At 39.6% G+C, this 23856-nt stretch overlaps 1 protein-coding gene across 4 annotated transcripts in view, besides 2 other annotated features; it reads right to left on the reverse strand.

Annotated features, from left to right (window-relative positions):
* EFHC2 (EF-hand domain containing 2) overlaps positions 1 to 23856 on the reverse strand; it is a 195801-nt gene that overhangs the window by 88893 nt on the left and 83052 nt on the right. For all 4 annotated transcript variants that reach the window (XM_047442535.1, NM_025184.4, XM_006724562.3 and 1 more), the window contains 4 exons: positions 13430 to 13681; positions 12039 to 12152; positions 11508 to 11646; positions 5357 to 5525 (listed from right to left, as the gene is read on the reverse strand). In XM_047442535.1, coding sequence (XP_047298491.1) covers positions 5357 to 5525; positions 11508 to 11646; positions 12039 to 12152; positions 13430 to 13681 — 674 coding nt within the window. The remainder of the gene's footprint in view (positions 1 to 5356; positions 5526 to 11507; positions 11647 to 12038; positions 12153 to 13429; positions 13682 to 23856) is intronic.
* Positions 15848 to 16701: an enhancer, noted in NCBI's record as "H3K27ac hESC enhancer chrX:44111858-44112711 (GRCh37/hg19 assembly coordinates)". NCBI's record gives its function as "activates a minimal SCP1, AML or CMV promoter by ChIP-STARR-seq in primed H9 embryonic stem cells {active_cell/tissue: H9 hESC(primed)}" and the evidence as "EXISTENCE:reporter gene assay evidence [ECO:0000049][PMID:30033119]".
* Positions 16702 to 17554: an enhancer, noted in NCBI's record as "H3K27ac hESC enhancer chrX:44112712-44113564 (GRCh37/hg19 assembly coordinates)". NCBI's record gives its function as "activates a minimal SCP1, AML or CMV promoter by ChIP-STARR-seq in primed H9 embryonic stem cells {active_cell/tissue: H9 hESC(primed)}" and the evidence as "EXISTENCE:reporter gene assay evidence [ECO:0000049][PMID:30033119]".

The following is a 23856-nucleotide window of genomic DNA, read 5'->3' on the forward strand; positions in this document are numbered from 1 at the left end:
CATATAGTGTGGGGGGAAGCTATGCCTTGTCAACCATCTTCTCTGGTATATAATTGGATTTATATGTAACAAATAGATTTGGTAGCCCCTCTCACACAAGAAAGCCATAACATTTCAGATACTAGAAATATCACTGAAACAACTGAGGAAGGTCTAACTTCAGGAAAAGGAATATTACTGTAAATTTAACTTCTTATAATTTATAAGTGTACATGTTAAGTGTGGGTTTTTCACACGTTCAATATGCCTTTTTTTTTTCACCTAAATCTAGTGTTCTGGAGATCTCATCAATTGAGAATATAATCTACTCAATAAAACTTTTAGAATAGCAGTTCACAAAGTTTATTATATATAAAAGTCACCTGGGGAGCTTGTTAAATATATAGAATCCAGAGTCCAATCCCCAGAGATATGGGGGGATTCAGTAGTTAGCTCACATCTCCAGAAACCTGCATTATTAATAAGCACCCCAGAAGATTCTGATAAGGTGGTCCCCTGGGCATACTTTGAGAAGCACTGCAAATGTTTTCAGATATTTCCCTAATAACTACTTTTCAAACTTCCCAGAATATTCTTTTTTATCACAATGCTCCAGCTGACCACCTACTTATACCTCCTGCATCAATTGTAAGGCCACACCCAATTTAGCTCTATATAGACTTTTACTCTTGGATGGTTGTTTTAAAAATGTGTTTATTCCCGTTGTCCCCAAACAAATTATAAGTTCCTAGGTCAAGAAGCCATGTCTTAACTTTTTCTACATACAGCCCAGAGTTATCTAAAATCATTACCTCAAATTCTTCTCCCATTTTCTCTTGAATCCATTTCCATTAGGTTTGCTCTACCTAAACTGCTCTTGTAGAGGTCAACAATGATCTCCACGGTGCCAATTCCAATGCTTAATTTTTTGTGCCTATCTAACTTAACCAATCAGCAGCAATTGGCACAAATGATCACTCCTTCAGTGTTACTCTTGCTTCACTGGCTTCCGGGATCCAGCATTCTCTTGGTTGTGCTCCTACCTCCTTGTTTGCTCCTTTTTAGTCTCCTTTGTTGGTTCCTCCTTTTTTCCCCAAGCTCCTAATTGGGGATGTTCCAGAGTTTATTCCTTGGTCATGCTCTGCTCTAGGTATATTCACTCCCTTGGTGATTTCATCCAATCTCAAGGCTTTAATACAATTTGGTATCATGGCTTTAAATACCATCTACATGCTGATGGCATCCACATTCACCTATCTTCTGAACCCTATACTCACACATGTATCCAACTGCCTACTTGGTATTGCCACTTGATATCTAATAGACATCCCAAACTTAACTGGTTCTAAAACTGAACTTCTACTCTTGTCCCTAAACCTACCCTATCTCCAGTCTTTCTCATCTCAGTAGATGGCAACTCCACCCTTCCAGTTGCTCAAGCCCAAATCTTGAGAGTCATCTTAACTCCTCACTTCTTTCATACTTCATATCCAGTTTGTCAGGGAATCCCACTGGCCCTACCCTCAAAATAATTCCAGGATCCACTAATTAATTTCATCACTTCCACTGCGCTCACCCAGATCTGAGCCACCAAAACTTTTCTCTTGGACTACTGCAGTAGCTTCTTACCCAGTCTTAATTTCCACCACTGCCATCTATAGTCTGCCCTCAACACTACACTGGAATGATTCTTTTAAGAAGAAAATCAGCTCAAGTCACTTCTCTGCTCAAATTTTCTAATGGCCCCCTTATCACTCAAAGTCAAAAGCATCCTTAAACAGTCTGTAGAGCCCTGTGTACCCAGTCCCCCATACACTCTCATCTCCTCTCTGTGTGCTCTGCTCTTTACTCATCTACTCCATCCATGTCGGCCTCCCGGATGCTCCTTGCACATCCCAAGCACACTTCTTGCTCAGGGCCTTTACACCGACTGTTCCTTTTGCCTGGAGCACATTTCCTCTCCTCAGTAAAGTCCATCAAGACCACACTATTTAAAATTGCAACCAGGAATGTTCCTCAGCCCCATACTCCCAATCTGCCTTTATTCTTTCCACAGCAACTTAATACCTTCTTTATTTTTTTCACAGTACTTAACATCTTGTAAATACTTCATAATTTACTTATGTATTAATTGATGGTCCACCTCCCAGAACTAGAATATAAGTTCCACGATGGCAGGCCTTGGTGTCTATTTTGTTCACTGATGTATCACAAACACCCAGAACACTGCTTGGCACACAGCAGGGATTCAAGAACTAGTTATTCACTAAGATAATGAATGGCTCATCCAGGGCTATACACCTACTAAAAACCTCAAATATATCTAGAGCTATAGAGTCTTATGGTTGGAACACACATGAAGGCTTATTTTTATTAATGGGGAAACATTTTTAAAAGAAGAAAAAAAATGACTGGTGGGGACAGCAGATGGACAATATCTGTAACAAGACAGAGATGAAGATTAAACCATGAATTTTTGGATGCTATATGGTTATGACTGGCACAAGTCTGGTATAATAACCCTCCTGGTGAGAAGTCATCTGTCTCTTCTATCCATGATTAAGAACTGGATGAGTGAACATTTATTCTATTTGCTCACTTCTTCATCCATTCCTTCTCTTCTTAGACAAACTATTGATCCCCAAATATATAGCCAGCACTAACTCTTATGGAAGCAATAAAGCTGGCCCCTGCCCTCAAGGAGCTCTTGGTCTAAAAGGAGCCCACAAATTACATAAACAAGTCATTAAGATGCACTGTTATATGTATAGGTTCTGTCGAAAGACAGGTAAATTCCAGAAGTCAGATTTCCCTGGGTTCAGTTCCTAGTTCAGCTAAAAATTAGCTGTGTCACCTTGAGGAAGTTGTATGGCCTCTCTGAGCCTCAGTTTTCTCATGTAAAAAATGGGTACAATAACATTATCTACTTTCCAAGGATTTGATGATTAAATTAGATTAAGTATTGTAACATAGCACATAGTAACCACTAATGGCTTATTATGAGTAATCAGTAATAGTAGTAATATTATTATTAGAAATATAATCAACAGAGTACTGTGGGCACACAAAGAACAGAGTAACTAATTCAGCCTGGTGCAGCAAGAAAGATATTATCCTGGTTCTCCCTCCTCAGACTAGACAATCTGCCCAGCAGGCTACCGCAGTGATATCTACCCAGATAATAAAGAAGATCTTTATATCCATCAAAAGCTCATATGCTTTAATCTGAAACTATTCCCTCCAATGACTCATAGATCAGCATTAACCTCATAATAATAGCACCAAGTACATTTTTAATAGCAATATATATATAATCAATGTGTCATGTACAATTCCATGTCTCAATTCACAGTTTATTTGTATTTTAAAAAACTATTCTTTGTATGCTTTGTGAAATCATCTTCCTTAGGTTCTTACAGTTTTAAAACCTTGGGTTATTCAAACTCATCTATAAGTCTCCAGCCGAATGTGCTAGTTACTATGGAAACATGGTCCCTGTGTGAGAAGAGCTTGAGGAAAGTGTATTCCTGGCACAGATTGAGCAGTGGACAGAAAGAACAAAATGAGAGACATTTGTGCCTATACTACCATTCTCCAGCCAGGACAACATGAAAAGAACATGGAATACCATCTACAGTCAGTGTTCTGTGGGCAAGTTTACCCAGTGTAGACAGAAAGAGGGACTAAGTCAACTACTCACAAAGAACGGTTTTCCCCTGGGTTCCAGAAACAACACCCTGGATAATATTTCATCTTGTTTACTTATAAGAAAAATTCCCTCTCCTTTTACAATAGGGACATTCTTCCTGCCCGCCTCCTTCGGGTGGCTGTCCTTAAAAACAGCAGTTAGCCATCAAAAGTCCTACCCTGGAACCTCACCTAAACACTGTTCTCGATAAGGGAGGACAGAGTATAAGCTGGCAACCCTCTTATGTGATAAAAATCAGTGGTTCTCAAACACTGGTGTGTCTCAGAATCCACTGGAAGACTTGAGAAAATTCAGAATGTTGGGCCCCTTCCCCAGAGCTTCTATCTCAGTCAGTCTGGGGGTGGGGGAGACACAATAATTAGCATTTCTAAAAAGTACAGGGACCACTCCTGAGAAGCATCAAATCTAAAACTTAAAAATAGAACCCTAAAATCCTTAAAAGTAAAAGATTATTTCTAGAAAGACAAAGGACATCATGTCATAGCAAAGGCAGACTTTAAGACATTCTATATAATTCTTAATCAATTTTTACCACTTTTATAGATACAACATAACTACTGTTCTCTCTCCTTCAAATGTGCTACAACAGCACCTGACCCCAATCAATTTTATGAAATTCAGGATGTCTTTTTCTTCTCCTTCTCCTAGACTTACCACATTCCCTTTATCACTGCTTCTCCCCAGAATCTCCTTATCCATTATTTCCCTCACACAGGACTGTAACCCTTAGCCCACATCCTATTCAAGCACCTACAATGTTTCCCCACCACTTTTCCCCTGACTTCTTTCTCCAGGGCCTGCTCTCCCTGCAGAAGCAAAAAGTAGCCGAGGGCAGTGTCTACATTCTATATGCATGATTTACAGGCAGGTTTTTCTCCATGTCTATTAGGAATACTTCTGAAAGTCCATCATTTAAAATTATATTCAGCCAAGTGAGAAACCTATGGTTACTGAACTCAACCAACCTCTCAAGTGAAAACAACATTAATCACCAAATAACACTTTTAAAAACACGTATAAATCCTTGAAATCTCTATAGCAGGGGTTGGCAAACCACAGTCAGTGAGCCAAATCTACCAGGCCACCTGTTTTTATATGACTTTTGAGATAAGAATGGTTTTTACATTTTGAAACGGTTGGCAAGATCAAAATAAGAGTAATATTTTGTGATATGTAAAAATTACATGAAACTTGAATGTCAGTGTCCATAAAAAAAGTCTTATTGGAACACAGTCACACAATCATTTACATTCTGTCTGTGGTGCTTTCACGCTACAAAGGCAGATCTGAGTGGTTGTGACAGACACCGTATGGCCCACAAGGCCAAAAATATTTCCTATCTGACCCTTTAAGAAAGAGCTTGTTAACTCCTACTCTACATCTTTCCTATTTTCGGGAGACAGATATATAGATAGATATGGAAAGGCAACATAGACTAGAGATAATATTACTTTAGGGGCCTCCAGATGATACTTATTAAAATAAGCACTCAGGTAAGAACCTGTTAATACGTGCATGTTAATCAACCTCATTAAAAGCCTATAATAATGTCTCCCTGGACTTGCAATTAGATGAGCTGCGTGACATCTGTTTCGTCATGAGAACTATGTTATAAACCCCAAACACATTTGGGAAAGATCAGACTAAAATCATGGTTCCCTCAAGCACCTGTCTTTTTCCATAAACTTCTTGAAGTTCCTCCGATGAGGTGTGGGCTTGAGGTCTATGCAGTTACGGAGAGAATCCTCTTCAGAACCAAAACCGTTGTAAGGTGGAAATTTCCTTTCTATTTTTGGAGGAGGAGAAGGAGGCTTGCATGAAACTGAGGTAAAGTTCTCTAGAACAAAACAAAGGCAAACAAAACATCAATATTTTTTTTGCCCTGATTATGGCTGTTTTGAAAGGTTTGTTATGTTTTCAAGATGAACATGGAGATCTTTGTAGACTATTTTAAACTCTTTCAAACAAAACAGCAAAATCCTGTGAGAGTACTTTTCAATCATGTTTACAAAAACCATGGAACTCACTTAATAATCACCATTGGTTCAAAAGTTAAAAAAAAAAAAAAGAATCTATGTCAAATAAGTAAACGTTTATATTTTGTCATCACATTCCCATTTCTGAATATTTTTTGTTCTCCTCTGATTTTTCCAATAATATGAAAATTCAAACTTGAAACTTTAGGCCACTCGTTCCACATTTTAACCTGTAATTTAGCCCTCTCCTATCTCAGTCAACACTCACTAATAAAATTCTTTTCCAAACAGGACTTACTCCTGACTATTCACCTTTATCCTTCCCCATCCACCATCTCCTCCTACTGCACCCTGTATTTGAGTACCCTCCATTGCCTCCAAAGTAACTCCAGGTCATAGTACTTCCCTATGTAGTTCAAAAACAAACACCAAAACAGAACTTTCCTCTCACCAGCCACGGCCCCAGGTAGCTTTTGTTAAGCCCAAGAAAAGACTACAATTGCACTCAAATGCAATGAAGCGAACAAACAAAACAGAAAAAGAAAAAACTTTTAAAATAGCCAACTGCCTACTCTCTCCAAGGGAGTGCTACGCGGTAAATACTGTTGATTTTATTTATATACTTATCATCTGTGAGGAAAGAGAGGTGGAGAGAGAGCTGGTAACATATTTGTAATAGCCTAGGAGCTTTCAGGTACTCATTTGCGAGGCTGTACAATCTCAGAAGCAACCGTGCTCTCCAGAGCAAGGAACATATTGACCTGGTCTATCCAAGTCACTGTGTTTGTCCCCAACATAAATGGCAAAAAAAGATGCCACATCTTTCCTAAAACAAAACAAAACAAACTCCCACAGAATCTATTTTCTACTTCTTCCCCAAGCTTCAGTATGACATAGGTGTTTTCAATCCTGTATGAAAGGAGTTCTACATAAGCAAATATTTCCTTTTCCACTGTCAAAGTTCCCATAGAGGAAGAGTACAAATTTTAGTGCACACCTCCGGAAGAGAAAATGGAGATCAATTTTTCATCCAAGATAACCTAACTCTTAATATTAAGGTGGTTGTTTGGTTTTTGTTTTGTTTTGTTTTGTTTTGTTTTTTAACTGATGATCAAAAGGCTAAGGGCTTGAGGCCACTTCTAACTCTTGTTGAAAACATTTTCAGCTTTCATATGTCCTTAGACTTCCTAGCAGCCTTTGTGTGAAATTTCCCCAAAAACAATCCCCAAAAGAGTATTGTTACATCCTAACAGAGACTGCTTACAGCAGACATGTTTATAAAGGTGACTCAGTGAAAGGGGGGAGCCAGTGTGCCAGTACAGAAGTGACTTGTGAGCTTCAACTATTGCTATTTTTATGGTGATTTTAAAGAAAAGTCTTGGAAATAAAGAGGAGAGTTCAAATCTTGGAATTGGGCAGAATTGCAGTAGACTCTATCATTGCTAACCATTACATCTAACACACCACTGTTTGGTCTTTCATTTCAGGAAGAACATCATAGCCATGGCAGGAGAGCTGTATGTGATTATTTAAAAATCTGGGCCTGAGGAGTTTCTTTCAACAGGAGACATATACATACAACTCTACATACCAATCTAAGCAGTCTAACCAAAAGAGGACACATATTGAATCTCAAAGTAATTAGGACTGCATTCTACACTTCCCCCTAGAATTACAGGGCTTATACCACACTGTTGTTTTCTCAACCATATAATTTTTGCAACAGATTTAAGTAACAAAAGAACCAATTTAGAGCTTTCCTCTGCACCCACAGTGCCATCTAGTGTATAAAAGCTGAGAACTTTTCCACTCCATCATGCCTGACTTTTATACCACCACATACATCTTTTTGGAAACTCTGGCTCAAGATCCAACTTTAAATCCCATTTATCTGGGTAATTTGCATACGTTCACAAAGCTCTGGACTCACAGCTGAATGACAAGTTTCCTCACTTTGGTTTTCCATCATCCCAGCATCCTGCGTGTTTTAGGTGTTCAAAAATATTCATTGAATAAATGAAAAAGTATACATTTTTGTACAAAGCATCTTCCCCAATGTCTCAAGTTGGCATTCTGCTAGATCCTGAGACAGATATGTCTTTTAATTATCTGATTCCTCTAATTCCAAGTGACTTGTCAAAACATATATATATTGAATGCCCATCCATGGTTGACTAGATTCCAACAAATTGGCAGACAGATGATACATATTACAAAGGAGTCTTAATGCTTCTTCGTGGTGATTTTCTATTCACCATCTCAGTGGGAAAGACTACTGGGAAAAGCCTTCAGTTACCTCAACGTTCACTGCTTATGTTCTAGTAGCCTAGAGATGAATACAGGTTTTGGGAGGCTGGAAGCTTAAATAATTTGGGCAAAGCTCTTCTAGGCAAAGAATGTCAAATTACTAAGACAAAGTTAGGCCAGGGCCTTGGATTGGGACCCCTGGAAAGGAAGACCTCTAAAGATTACGCTTCATTAGCTTCAAGGTAAATCCACTTGTGCTTGTATTCAATACCCATGTCAAATGATTTCAATGAAACCTAAATTCGTGAATCACATTATGTTAGAGCTATAAAATCTTTAAGAATCCTCCCATCTCAACCATCTTCATTTCATAGGGGAAGCAAAAGAAACAAAATTGTTAGGTCCATCAGGGCCATGTGATGAGACCAGAAGCCAATTCTATCCTATTGGTGCAATTTTAAGTGTCCAATTCACTCAAATAATCATTAAACACTCATCTTAAATGTCCTGCTGTTCCTAAAAATTCAGAGATGGCCAGAAATGACTCCACAAAATTAAAGGTGCTTTAAGATTTTTGTTGAATCTAAGCATAGCCCAATAAGTGTTCAACAGCAACAAGAATGAACAATCTTGTTACTAGTTTCATTGTCCCAGCCACTAAGAAAAAATAAGAAAGTCCACTGATAGACAAATAATAACCTAAAGCAGAAATTCCTACGTAAGAACAGTTTACATTTGATCCCTGTCCTTTTAGTGAAAGAAACACCTGCTGGAACCCCTAGAGCCTTTTTCAACCTTCATGCTATAGGAAAGATCAACAGACCTCCATCTGCCGGACCGTGTTCATTCACATAAAATAATGAGGGAGTGACATGCTACAGCCTGGCAGGCAAGCCAGGGCCAGCAGGATGGCCAAACTGTCTGATGGAGGGGGTCCCACTGCACTATTAAAGAGAAGAAATCTATGGAATCACCTTCTCCTTAGAATCCTTAAATGTATGAAGGAATCATCTTAAGAGATTGAGTTTTACACAGGAGCTCAAATGTCTCTTGGAATTTTAGCAAGCCCTCCACTTCTACATAAATAGAAAGGTTATCCATGTACCTTTCTTGGGACTGTGGCCAACTCCTTCTCTTTGTCTGCCATTTTTTCTCCCCCAAAATATGTTGGGGTGTCATTACACAGGAGAAGGTACTAAAGCACCAAGGCGGCGTACTGCGTTAGAAATCTCCCGTGACTTCCTGCTAGAGACGCCCCTAGCTGTGTTGCTGCTGCTTGTCAGATCCTTCCTGCGTGCTGCACAGTGGAGATACCCAGGTTTTCTACTGAACACAATTATTGACAAAGGAGGAAATGTGACCACAATTATTGACAGAACCACAATGATTGATGGGACTTTGTCCTGGTTTGGGTTTTAAGGATACCAAAACATAACGCATGTAATTTGGTCAATTTAAAAAATTGCTGAGACCAGATGAACTATAAATAAAATTAAAATGGCAGAAATAACTGTATCTAAGCAACATTAAGGATATTAATTTAACCTTACCAAAAAATCAGGAAAAGCAAATGCAAAGATTATCAGAGAACACTGATTCATTCTCCCCTCCACCTCATCATAGATATAATTTCTAGTCTTTACTTACATTAAGTACACTGTTGTAACACAAGAAATGTTGTGTAATAATAGTGTCTGTTAAATGGGATATTTTAACATATGTTATGAGAAATATAAAAAGTCAGTGTGACTATGAAATGCATCATAATTTTGCATTTGCATAATTTTCTGTTTAAATGCATAATGCTCATGTTATATTAGCTTTAGAGGCACAGACTACTTTTTTTTTACATAATACAATTAGTCCACGGAGTGAACAAAAGAAGTGAACAGAAAGAAATTAGCACAAGGACTCGACTGAAATGGACCATAGGACATTTGAAGCTGATACATTTACCCAGGATGGCTCGATTTGGAGCACACCAGGGAATTCACACTGCCTCAAAAAATTTTCTAGAGAAGCCGTTAAGACCCTAACAACATACTAAGTCCCACCAGTAGGACATTCATTTTCCCAAATGCAACTTTCATATTCTCACCAAGCTGACAGACAAACATCAACCAAAAGTTAGACTTTATGTTTAAGGAATCATATAATGCTTTGGAACACCACATCCTTTATATTAAGGTAATCATCAGGTGTAAGTTACGGTTTTTGGTGACTCATCTTGATATATACATTTAAATTTTCATTCTACACTAAAGACGGATTCCAAACAGGCATCTACATTTATTAAAGGCCAAATTCTTTTCCCACAGTCTAGGGGCCACCAGCAGCTTCTCTATAGCAGCTGCCACCTGCACATTCCTGGCTGCTTCTTGTCCACAGTCCCCAAGGCAAATATGCCCAACTGTGTCCACTGAAGGGGACTAATTTTAGAAAATAAAAAGAGGCCACCAATTTGGCCCCAGTAGGGCCCATACATTTTGACTAATCTGGCATGCAGATGCAGTGCAACAAATTCCCCTAATGAACCTAAGAGTAAAACTGTAAGCCTTTTTCACTCTAACCCCCTTGTGTACTTGATGTGCCTTCTCTCACAATATAAAGATTCCCAGAAGGCCAGGAATACTACACAATGCGGACAACAAGACACATAACATGGCTTCATCTCATTCTAGTGACAAAGCACCTTGTCTTTCAAGAAGCTGCGGTTGCACTTGGCTTCCATCTTGCCCCTCGGGGAAGTGTGTTCATATGAATACTCCAAGGTTCAGAAAGAAGTACAGGACTAAGTACCCACTATCCCAACTCCAGTACCAAACTGGGAGGTCAGCAAGTCCCATCAATTCCTAGCAGCAGCAGGTACCTGGAGCCTCAGGTAGAGGGGAGTTTAACAAATGAGGGTTTATGCTTTAGGTTTCACGTCACATCCTCCGCCAGCTTCCAAGACACTCATAACACGGTGTCACTCGCTGCAGGTCTCAGTTCCCCTTCCAGCCTAGAAACCTCTTACACAACTCTATCTCCTAAGTCTACTACAGTGACCTACATATAGTAGGTGCTTAATCAATCACTCATTTTCATTCTGAACTGAACTAACCTTACTGGAATGGAGTTAATATCTGAGAAGAGAGAAGCTTAAAACCTGGCTGAGCCTCACCAGGAAAGGTAGAGCAAACTAGCAGAAGAGAATTCCCTCAATAACTCAATTAGGTATATCCATTGTGGTAAGAAGAAGTAAGTGAAAAGAAAAGCATTCAGATTTCCATTTCGATTGCTAAACCAAAACATTTACCCCCCCAGCATCAGGCAGACAAGTTCAAATCTTGGCTCACTCTTTGCTCACTGTATAACCTTGGACAAATGAGCCCCCTTTAAGCCTCGGTTTTTTTCACCTCTAAAATGGGGATAATGAGCCTATCCATAGAGAATTGTTAGGAATATATAAGACAACAAACGGCTGGAAGATAGCAAATGCACAATAAGTGGTAGCTATTATGAGCCTAGCATTTGAAACTCCAAAGTAAAATCTTAATTAGGGAACAAACAATTTAATTTTAAAAATATTTTTAATTGACATATGTATCACTTACCAATTCCATATTTAGACTTATAATAAGACTTCGTAAATTCATCACAGTCATAAAGGAGCACTTTTCTTCCCCACACATTGATGGTGACTCCTAGGGACAGGTCACTATCTTTGTAAAACTCTTGGTCTACTTTTCCTAGCTAAAAAAGACAAAGGAACATAGCATTGGCACCATGGACCCTCCAAAGAACCAGGAACCCCTTCCCAGAGAAAAAAAGGAAATTAAAAATAAAACTTCAATCTTTAATAACTAAATTTTAAAAATCAAATAAAAAAGCAACCAGTTGATGTTAATATTCTAAAGTATTATTTTAGCACTGTAGTATTATACTTACAAACTGCAATGCATTGCATATATTTATATAGACATTTCAGCATGTTTATTACTGATAAATAGCAGTACAATGCATACATTTATGTATTCATCGATTTCATTCACAATCTCACAAGAGAAGAGTACGTAACTCGCCCCACTGTTCAGGTTCCAAAGAAGTCACACTAGAAACAGGTAATAAAATATGAGGTTCCTTCCCTTATATCTATCGAACAGGTAGCCATCCGCTTGGTTCTTTATAAAGTCACCATATGAATTGAGAACTGCTCGATCTGTTATCTGGCCTGGTTGATAGACTCTAGGTGGGCAATTCTGGAAGACAAAATCAAAACAAGATGTGGTAGGATTTAATCCATTCCCTTTCTTACTATAACCCCAGGGCTGGCATAGAGGTGGCACTCAATGAATATTTGTTGAATGAATGAATAAAATGAATTAACTAATGTTGGCACACTGTAAATGTCAGGTATGTCATTATTATTTTATATTCAGCCTATTTTTCAAAGTCATTCTAAAAACAGGTTTTTCTGACACCTCCTGGTTGCCTGCTATGGGTATCCCAGGGCTCCCTCTGGGACAAATTGTGCCTCTCCTGCCTCCAAGCAAACGCAGTAGGGCTTCCAGCAGTGGGCTCAGAGAATCTGGGAAAGCCTCCCGGTGAGGACTGAATGGCCAGCAGTTATTTGCCTCGGAAATTAGCATTATGGTAACCTTTTCATGTGCACTAAGAAGACACTTTATCCAAATAAGAAAGAAAATATAACATAGAGCTTTTGAAAAAGCCTTTATGTTCTTAAGTGTCCTTATAGGTGTTTACAGGTCCTTAGATGGTGTTTTTTTGGTTTTTTTTTTTTACTATGTTATGACATTTTAAAGATGGGGAAATAAGCTCAAAGAGGTTAAGTGATTTGCCCAAGGTAACACAGCTATTAAGGGGCAGACTCACAACTCTAATCCAGGTCTGGGCTGTTTCTGCTGCACCCAAATTACATGAGCTCTCAAATGGCCATAAATATTTGTAGAAATCAATCTGACAACTCTTTTTAATGTTAAATAAAATGCAAAAGTCATCACTGCCACTAGCTAGTGGCTAGTTGGTGACTAGTTGCTACATTCAGAAAAGGCACTTTGGTTTGTAAACTTGCATGTGTATGTTTGTGAGTGCATGTGTACATGCACATGTAGGTGCACGTGTATAAGTGTGTGTTTGTATTCACAACCCAGACCAAACCATGGGCTCTCTTCAGTAGTCTGCAGTGCCCTGTCCAAAGCCACAAGCAATTCTTTTACTAAGGAGTCATTTAGTTTCATAAAACTGGATGTGAACTCAATGATGAATAGGTGCTTTTTCTTACATTTGACTTTTTTCCTTTACTTGCCTTAACTTCAATGTTCCAACTCTAATTGATCATATTCTCTGTATTACTTTCACAGATGTGTATTAATAGAGGGCACAAAATGAAAGGTTTCTAAATACCTGCACTAGTGCATGGTTACTATCATCATATAGTCATAACACACAACATTCCAAACAGTGACTAGTCTCTTGACCCACAAGCAAATTCAAAGTGGTTATATCCACTGCTCACCTTGGGTAGCTTACTCCTCCGGAGGAACATTTTTAGAGCATCTCGGCCTGAGCTGTGTGGAAGCAATTCTTTGATTTCAATAGTATCATCACACAAGAAGTAATGCAGGATGAGTTCTCTACGGTCTCCAAACATTGAGACTGAGTCATCCCACAGGCAGAAGAAACACAAAATCTTGCCATGATACTGGAGGAACTGTTTCAGGGTGTCGAGGGATTCGTAGGGACGTAAGGGCTCTACGTGTTCTACAACCTGCAAATGGAGAAAATGTCAATAATAGTTGCAGGGTTTGCATAATCACTTCTAAGATATACACAATCAAGTGACAAATATATAAAGATATATTTTTGGTCAGGCATGGTGGCTGATGCCTGTAATCCCAGCATTTTGGGAGGCCAAGGCGGGAAGACTGCTTGAGTTCAGGAGTTCAAGACCAGCCTGGGCAACATGGCAAAAACACAACTCTTAAAAAAAAAAAAAAATTAGGCAGATGTGGTGTCACACGCCTGTAGTCCCAGCTACTTGGGAGGCTGAGATGGGAGAATTGCTTGACCCCAGGAGGTCAAGGCTGCAGTGAGCCATGTTCACACCACTGCGCTACAGCCTGGTCAACAGAGTGAGACTCCATTTCGAAAAAAAAAAAAAAAAAGAAAAGAAAACAAAAAAGATATATTTTTCTACAGATTATTCTGTGATTTTGTTTTTAATTTCAACTATGACATAGATACATACACATCTATAACCAGTTTTAACCTTAAGAACTGGCCGGGCGCGGTGGCTCACGCCTGTAATCCCAGCACTTTGGGAGGCTGAGGCAGGTGGATCACGAGGTCAGGAGATCGAGACCATCCTGACTAACACGGTGAAACCCCGTCTCTACTAAAAATACAAAAAAATTAGCCGGGCGTGGTGGCAGGCACCTGTAGTCCCAGCTACTCGGGAGGCTGAGGCAGGAGAATGGTGTGAACCCAGTAGGTGGAGCTTGCAGTGAGCAGAGATCGCGCCACTGCACTCCAGCCCGGGCGACAGAGTGAGACTCCATCTCAAAAAAAAAAAAAAAAAAAAAAAAAAAGAATAGAGACAAACAAGTTTGAGGAAGTTTTTCATATTAAACATTAATACACTAAACTATACTTCTGGCCAGGCGGGGTGGCTCACACCTGTAATCTCAGCACCTTGGGAGGCCACAGTGGGTCGATCACTTGAGGCCAGGAGTTTGAGACCAGCCTGGCTGTCTCTACTAAAAATGCAAAAAAGTTTAGCCAGGTCCGGTGGCAGGTGCCAGTAATCCCAGCTACTCAGGAGGCTGAGGCAGGAGGATCCCTTGAACCTGGGAGGCAGAGGTTGCAGTGAGCCGAGATTGTGTCACTGCACTCCAGCCTGGGTGACAGAGCAATACTCTGTAAAAAAAAAAAAAAAAAAAAAAAAAAAAAAAAAAAAAAAAAAAAAAAAAGATTAAAAAAAGAAAAAACTATACTTCTTTAATATTTTTTAAAACTGACTTTTCAAAAAGATTTAAAATTCTTATTTAAGAACAGACAAAACTAATCTACGGTGACAGAAATCAGAACAGTAATTGCCTCTGGGTAGGGAATTTGACCAGAAATGGGGAGAAAGGAACTTTCTGAGGTGGTAAAAATATTCTACATCTCGATTTTTGTGTTGGTTACTCAATTGCACACATTTTACAAAACTTGTTGACCTATATACTTAAGATTTATATGTTTGACTCCGTATTAATTATATCTCAACCAAATACATAATTTGTCTTTTCACTGGGAAATTCATATGTGTTCATAATTCTTACTCATTCAAAGATTTTTGTGAAGGTAAAAGGGAAGAAATATATTCACTGTTTTATTTCAGCTCAAAAAGCTTTAGGTATCAAGGATAAGAATGCCCCGGAGAAACAGGAGCACAGCAAATGGAGAAGGTCTTAAGGTCTGCAGAGCCTCTGCCTCGGCTGTCCTCTGTCCCAGGAACCACTAGTTAGTTCCATAGTCTTCTTGATGCAACTCTTCCCTCTATTTGCACTTTCGCAGCCCTGTCGTGGAGTTAAACTGCCCCCATTTCATCTGATGTAACCAAATAGGACTGTTATATAAGGAAGTGCACACTGACAAGGGAGATGTTATCCCAAATCAGGTTATACAATCTTTTTGTAAATTTTTGAAATTTCTATCTGTCGAGGGCAGTCTAGGTGCAGTCTTAACCCAAGACAGTGGGGAGACATGATGGCTTTCCAAAGACTCTTCAGTCTTATCTCTGATATTTAAATGAAATTATGGGACCACTATTTCAATTGATTGAAAAATGTTTCTTTGGCATTATGAGGCCTCTAAGAAAAGCATTATTGATAATATATGGGATTCTTTTCAGTCTAAGTTAAATTGTTTAATTTTAACTTTACAGTTCAAGACAGCAAACACTGCAGAAGTAAATGTATGAAAGTCAATATAGAAGCCTCTTATTAAACTCCTAATTTCCCAAAGATTACTATATTTATTGAAGAATTTTCTCCCTGAGGGAATAAATGCTAAAATGATGTTCCTACTCTGAAAGGAAATTATTTAAAACATTTCTTAGCTGTTCTTGGTATTTATTCTCAATTCCTGGCACAAAAGATCTTTTTCTGGGGGTGGCTGGCAAGATGGCCGAATAGGAACAGCTCTGGTCTGCAGCTCCCAGCGAGATCAATGCAAAAGGAGGGTGATTTCTGCATTTCCAACTGAGGTATCCGGCTCATCTCATTGGGACTGCTTAGACAGTAGGTGCAGCCCACGGAGGGCGAGCTGAAGCAGGGTGGGGCATCGCCTCACCCGGGAAGCACAAGGGGTCAGGGAACTCCCTCCCCTAGCCAAGGGAAGCCGTGAGGGACCGTGCTGTGAGGAACAGTGTACTCTGGCCCAGATACTATGCTTTTCCCATGGTCTTTGCAACCCTCAGACCAGGAGATTCCCTCAAGTGCCTACACCACCAGGGCCCTAGGTTTCAAGCACAAAACTGGGCAGCTGTTTGGGCAGACACCAAGCTAGCTGCAGTTTTTTTTTTTTTTCATACCCCAGTGGCGCCTGGAACACCAGTGAGACAGAACTGCTCACTCCCCTGGAAAGGAGGTGGAAGCCAGGGAGCCAAGTGGTCTAGCTCAGTGGATCCCCCCAGCAAGCTAAGACCGATGGCTTGAAATTCTCGCTGCCAGCACAGCAGTCTGAAGTCGATCTGGGACGCTGGAGCTTGGTGGGGGGAGGGGCGTCCCCCATTACTGAGGCTTGTGTAGGCGGTTTTCCCCTCACAGTGTAAACAAAGCTGCCAGGAAGTTGTAACTGGGCGGAGTCCACCACAGCTCAGCAATGATTTTGTAGCCAGACTACCTCTCTAGATTCCTCCTCTCTGGGTAAGGCATCTATGAAAGAAAGGCAGCAGCCCCAGTCACAGGCTTATAGATAAAACTCCCATCTTCCTGGGACACAGAACATGGGGGAAGGGGTGGCTGTGGGCACAGCTTCAGCAGACTTAAACGTTCCTCCTGCCAGCTCTAAAGAGAGCAGCAGACCTCCCAGCACAGTGCTCGAGCTCTGCTAAAGGACAGATTGCCTCCTCAAGTGTGTCCCTGACCCCTGTGCCTCCTGCTAGGAGACACCTCCCAGCAGGGGTTGACACCTCTTAAAGGAGACCTCCGACTGGCATCTGGAGGGTGCCCCTCTGGGACGAAGCTTCCAGAGGAAGGAACAGGTAGCAATCTTTGCTGTTCTGCAGCCTCCACTGGTGATACCAAGGCAAACAAGGTCTGGATTGGACTTCCAGGAAACTCCAGCAGACCTGCAGCAGAGAAGCCTGACTATTAGAAGGAAAACTAACAAACAGAAAGGAATAGCATCAACATCAACAAAAAGGATGTCCAAATGAAAACTCCATCCGAAGGTCAACAACATCAAAGACCAAAGGTAGATAAATCCACAAAGATGAAGAAAAACCAGCACAAAAAGGCTGAAAATTCCAAAAAACCAGAACACCTCTTCTCCTCCGAAGGATCACAACTCCTCGCCAGCAAGAGAACAAAACTGGACGGAGAATGAGTTTGATGAATTGACAGAAGTAGGCTTCAGAAGGTGGGTAATAACTAACTCCTCTGAGCTAAAGGAGCATGTTTTAACCCAATGCAAGGAAGCTAAGAACCTTGAAAAAAGGTTAGAGGAATTGCTAACTAGAATAACCAGTTTAGAGAAGAACATAAATGACCTGATGGAGCTGAAAAACACAGCACGAGAGCTTTGTGAAGCATACACAAGTATCAATAGCTGAATCGATTAAGCAGAAGAAAGGATATCAGAGATGGAAGATCAACTTAATGAAATAAAGCGTGAAGACAAGATTAGAGAAGAAAGAATGAAAAGGAACAAACAAAGCCTCCAAGAAATACGGGACTATGTGAAAAGACCAAACGTACGTTTGATTGGTGTACCTGAAAGTGATAGGGAGAATGGAACCAAGTTGGAAAACACACTTCAGCATATTATCCAGGAGAACTTCCCCAACCTAGCAAGACAGGCCAACATTCAAATTTAGGAAATACAGAGGAAACCACAAAGATACTTCTCAAGAAGAGCAACCCCAAGACACATAATTGTCAGATTCACCAAGGTTGAAATGAAGGAAAAAGTGTCAAGGGCAGCCAGAGAGAAAGGTCGGGTTACCCACAAAGGGAAGCCCATCAGACTAACAGGAGACCTCTCTGCAGAAACCCTACAAGCCACAAGAGAGTGGGGGCCAATATTCAACATCCTTAAAGAAAAGAATTTTCAACCCAGAATTTCATATCCAGCCAAACTAAGCTTCACAAGCAAGGGGGAAATAAAATCCTTTACAGATAAGCAAATGCTGAAAGATTTTGTCATCACCAGGCCTGCCTTACAAGAGCTCCTGAAGGAAGCACTAAATGTGGAAAGGAAAAATCAGTACCAGCTGCTGCAAAAACATACCAAATTATAAAGACCATTGATGCTATGAAGAAACTGCATCAATTAATGGGCAAAATAATCAGCTAGCATCATAATGACAGGATCAAATTCACACATAACAATATTAACCTTAAATGTAAACAGGCTAAATGTCCCAATTAAAAGACACAGACTGGCAAATTGGATAAAGGGTCAAGACACATCAGTGTGCTGTATTCAGGAGACCCATCTCACATGCAAAGACACACATAAGCTCAAAATAAAGGGAGGGAGGAATATTTACCAAAAAAATGGAAAGCAAAAAAAAGCAGGGGTTTCTATCCTAGTCTCTGATAAAACAGACTTTAAACCAACAAAGATCAAAAAAGACAAAGAAGGGCATTTCATAATGGTAAAGAGATCAATGCAACAAGAAGAGCCAACTATACTAAATATATATGCACCCAATACAGGAGCACCCAGATTCATAAAGCAAGTCCTTAGAGACCTACAGAGAGATTTAGACTCCCACACAATAATAATGAAAGACTTTAACACCCCACTGTCAATATTAGACAGATCAACGAGACAGAAAATTAACAAGGATATTCAGGACTTGAACTCAGCTCTGGACCAAGTGGACCTAATAGACATCTACAGAACTCTCCACCCCAAATCAACAGAGTATACATTCTTCTCAGCACCACATCACATTTATTCTAAAGTTGACCACATAATGGGAAGTAAAACACTCCTCAGCAAATGCAAAAGAACGGAAATCATAACAAACAGTCTCTCAGACCACAGAGCAATCAACTTAGAACTCAGGATTAAGAAACTCACTCAAAACCGCACAATTGCATGCAAACTGAACAACCTGCTCCTGAATGACTACTGGGTAAATAACAAAATTAAGGCAGAAATAAATAAGTTCTTTGAAACAAATGACAACAAAGACACAACATACCAGAATCTCTGGGACACAACTAAAGCAGTGTTTAGAGGCAAATTTATATATTTAGTGCTTATAAGCACTAAATGCCCACAGGAGAAAGTGAGAAAGATCTAAAATCAACACACTAACATCACAATTAAAAGAACTAGAGAAGCAAGAGCAAATAAATTCAAAAGCTAGCAGAAGGCAAAAAATAACTAAGATCAGAGTGGAACTGAAGGAGATAGAGACACAAAAAACCCTTCAAAAAATCAAAGAATCCAGGAGGTGGTTTTTTGAAAAGATCAACAAAATAGATAGACTGCTAGCCAGACTAATAAAGAAAAAAAGTGAGAAGAATCAAATGGACACAATAAAAAACGATAAACAGGATATCACCACTGATCCCACAGAAATACAAACTACCATCAGAGAATATTATAAACACCTCTATGCAGAAAATCTAGAAGAAATAGATAAATTCCTGGACACATACACCCTCCCAAGACTAACCCAGGAAGAAGTCAAATCCCTGAATAGACCAACCAATAACAAGTTCTGAAATTGAGGCAGTAATTAATAGCCTACCAACCAAAAACAGCCCAGGACCAGATGGATTCACAGCCAAATTCTACCAGAGGTACAAAGAGGAGCTGGTACCATTCCTTCTGAAACTATTCCAAACAATAGAAAAAGAGGCACTCCTCCCTAACTCATTTTATGAGGCCAGCATCATCCTGATACCAAAACCTGGCAGAGACACAACAACAACAACAACACAAAAAGGAAATTTCAGGCCAATATCCCTGATGAAGATTGATGCGAAAATCCTCAATAAAATACTGGCAAACCAAATCCAGCAGCACATGAAAAAGCTTATCCACCAAGATCAAGTCAGCTTCCTCCCTGGGATGCAAGGCTGGTTCAACATATGCAAATCAATAAATGTAACCCATCATATAAACAGAACCAATGACAAAAACCACATGATTATCTCAATAGATGCAGAAAAGGCCTTCAATAAAATTCAACACCCCTTCATGCTAAAAACTCTCCATAAACTAGGTATTGATGGAACGTATCTCAAAATAATAAGAGCTATTTATGACAAACCCACAGCCAATATCATACTGAATGGGCAAAAGCTGGAAGCATTCCCTTTGAAAACTGGCACAAGACAAGGATGCCCTCTCTCACCACTCCTATTCAACATAGTATTGGAAGTTCTGGCCAGGGCAAGAGAAAGAAATAAAGGGTATCCAAATAGGAAGAGAGGAAGTCAAATTGTCTCTGTTTGCAGATGACATGATTGTATATTTAGAAAACCCCATCATCTCAGCCCAAAATCTCCTTAAGCTGATAAGCAACTTCAGCAAAGTCTCAGGGTACAAAATCGATGTGCAAAAATCACAAGCATTCCTGTACACCAATAATAGACAGACAGCCAAATCATGAGTGAACTCCCATTCACAATTGCTACAAAGAGAATAAAATACCTAGGAATACAACTTATAAGGGATGTGAAGGATCTCTTCAAGAACTACAAACCACTGCTCAAGGAAATAAGGGAGGACACAAACAAATGGAAAAACATTCCATGCCCATAGATAGAAGAATCAATATCATAAAAATGGCCATACTGCCCAAGGTAATTTATAGATTCAATGCCATCTCCATCAAGCTACCACTGACTTTCTTCACAGAATTAGAAAAAAACTACTTTACATTTTATATAGAACCAAAAAAGAGCTCGTATAGCCAAGACAATCCTAAGCAAAAAGAATAAAGCTGGAGGCATCACACTACCTGACTTCAAACTATACTACAAGTTTACAGTAACCAAAACAGCATGGTACTGGTACCAAAACAGAGATATAGACCAATGGAACAGAACAGAGTCCTCAAAAATAACACCACACATCTACAACCAACTGATCTTTGACAAACCTGACAAAAACAAGCAATGAGGAAAGGATTCCTTATTTAATAAATGGTGTTGGGAAAACTGGCTAGCCATATGCAGAAAACTGAAACTGGACCCCTTCCTTACACCTTATACAAAAATTAATTCAAGATGGATTAAAGACTTAAACATAAGACCTAAAATCATAAAAACTCTAAAGAAAACCTAGGCAATACCATTCAGGACATAGGCATGGGCAAAGACTTCATGACTAAAATACCAAAAGCAATGGCAACAAAAGCCAAAATTGACAAATGGGATCTAATTAAATTAACAAGCTTCTGCACAGCAAAAGAAACTATCATTAGAGTGAACAGGCAACCTACAGAATGGAAGAAAATTTTTGCAATCTATCCAACTGACAAAGGGCTAATATCCAGAATCTACAAGGAACTTAAACAAATTTACAAAAAAAAAAAAAATCAAAAAGTGGACAAAGGATATGAACAGACACTTCTCAAAACAAGACATTTATGCAGCCAAGAAACATATGAAAAAAAGTTCATCATCACTGGTCATTAGAGAAATGCAAATCAAAACCACAATAAGATACCATCTCACGCCAGTTAGAATGGCGATCACTGGGAGGCCGAGGCAGGTGGATCACGAGGTCAGGAGTTCAATACCAACCTGGCCAAGATGGTGAAACCCTGTCTGTACTAAAAATATTTAAAAAAAAATTAGCCGGGTGTGGTGGCAGGCCTCTGTAATCCCAGCTACTCAGGAGGCTGAGGCACAGAATTTCTTGAACCTGGGAGGCAGAGTTTGCAGTGAGCCAAGATCGCGCCACTGCACTACAGCCTGGTCAACAGAGTGAGACTCCATTTAAAAAAAAAAAAAAGAATGGCAATCATTAAAAAGTCAGGAAACAACAGATGCTGGAGAGGATGTGGAGAAATAGGAATGCTTTTACACTGTTGGTGGGAGTGTAAATTAGTTCAACCATTGTGGAAGACAGTGTGGCAATTCCTTAAGGATCTAGAACCAGAAATACCATTTGACCCAGCAATCCCATTACTGGGTATATACCCAAAGGATTATAAATCATCCTACTATAAAGACACATGCACACGTGTTTATTGCAGCACTATTCACAATAGCAAAGACTTGGAACCAACGCAAATGCTCATCAATGATAGACTGGATAAAGAAAATGTGGCACATATACACCATGGGATACTATGCAGTCATTAAAAAGGATGAGTTCATGTCCTTTGCAGGGACATGGATGAAGTTGGAAACCAGCATTCTCAGCAAACTAACACAGGAACAGAAAACAAAACACTGCATGTTCTCACTCATAAATGGGAGTTGAACAATGAGAACACATGGACACAGGGAGGGGAACATCACACACCAGGGCCTGTCAGGGGGTGGGGGGATAGGGGAGGGACAGCATTAGGAGAAATACCTAAAGTAGATGATGGGTTGATGGGTGTAGAAAACCACCATGGCAGGTGTATACCTATGTAACAAACCTGCAAATTCTGCACATGTATCCCAGAACTTAAAGTATAATTTTAAATATACATAAATTTTTTTCTTCATAAACCTATGAAATCCCACAGTGCTCTGCGCATTTTCATATAATCCATCATTATTCACAATCACTATCATATAACAACAACTGTTAGTGAATGACTGCAGCCATATGCAAAGGGTGGCAATTCATTTGGATCCATTTCCTTCAAGTTCTCTCTGCTGGTTCTAAATTCTTTCTATTTATCTAGACTCTTTCATCCAGGGCATTTGGAAAAAATAAAAATGAATCCAAACCAAAAAAAATCCCTTTGTACATCAATATACAGGCATTTCACCTTAGATATTCCAGGATCAACAATATATATATTTCTCCAGAGGGCTGTATGCCTACAACAACATTAAAGAATAATTCTGCTGGGGCTGGGAGGCAGGAATAGATGAATGATCCTACAAGTGGCTTTTAAAAAGAGATCAAAACAGAATCAAAAGAGAATTTTGTTCTAAATTTTGTTACCTCTCTGCAAGGAAATGAATCATAAGTTTTAAAACAATAAAAATCAGACAAAACTCATCTATGGGTATAGAAATGAGAACAGCAGTTGTCTGTGGTGGGGAGCGGGATCGATTCGATAAACACATGAGGGGACTTTCTGGGGGAAGAGAAATGCTCTACATCTCAATATGGGGGTAGGTTATAGGGGTACGTGTATTTGTTAAGACTCATCCAACTGTACACTTAATTTCTGTGTATTTTACTGTGTGTAATCACACTTCAATAGAAAAGGAAAAAGGAAACAAGTGACAATGATGGAAATCAGGGTAAGAGTCAAGACATTTGCGATCCAGTCCCAGCAAGGAGATTAGCTGGGTGTTGTCACCTTCCACCCCCCTTTGAGTGTTCAAATTCTTCTGGAAAACAAAATTTGGGCCCAGGGACTGTTTAAAAAATAGGAAGACAAAAATAATACTAAAAATATTGAGTCTTTACTCCCTTACACTAGCTGGGGTCAGACCTTGTACATAAACATCCTTTCCTAAAGGGGGTATATCAGAATCATGGTCTTCCTTATTCTTCCAGAGCATCTTGGCATCCAATGCCATCCTAAGAGGA

Source organism: Homo sapiens, chromosome X, assembly GCF_000001405.40.
Source record: "Homo sapiens chromosome X, GRCh38.p14 Primary Assembly".
Classification (NCBI taxonomy): Eukaryota; Metazoa; Chordata; class Mammalia; order Primates; family Hominidae; genus Homo; species Homo sapiens.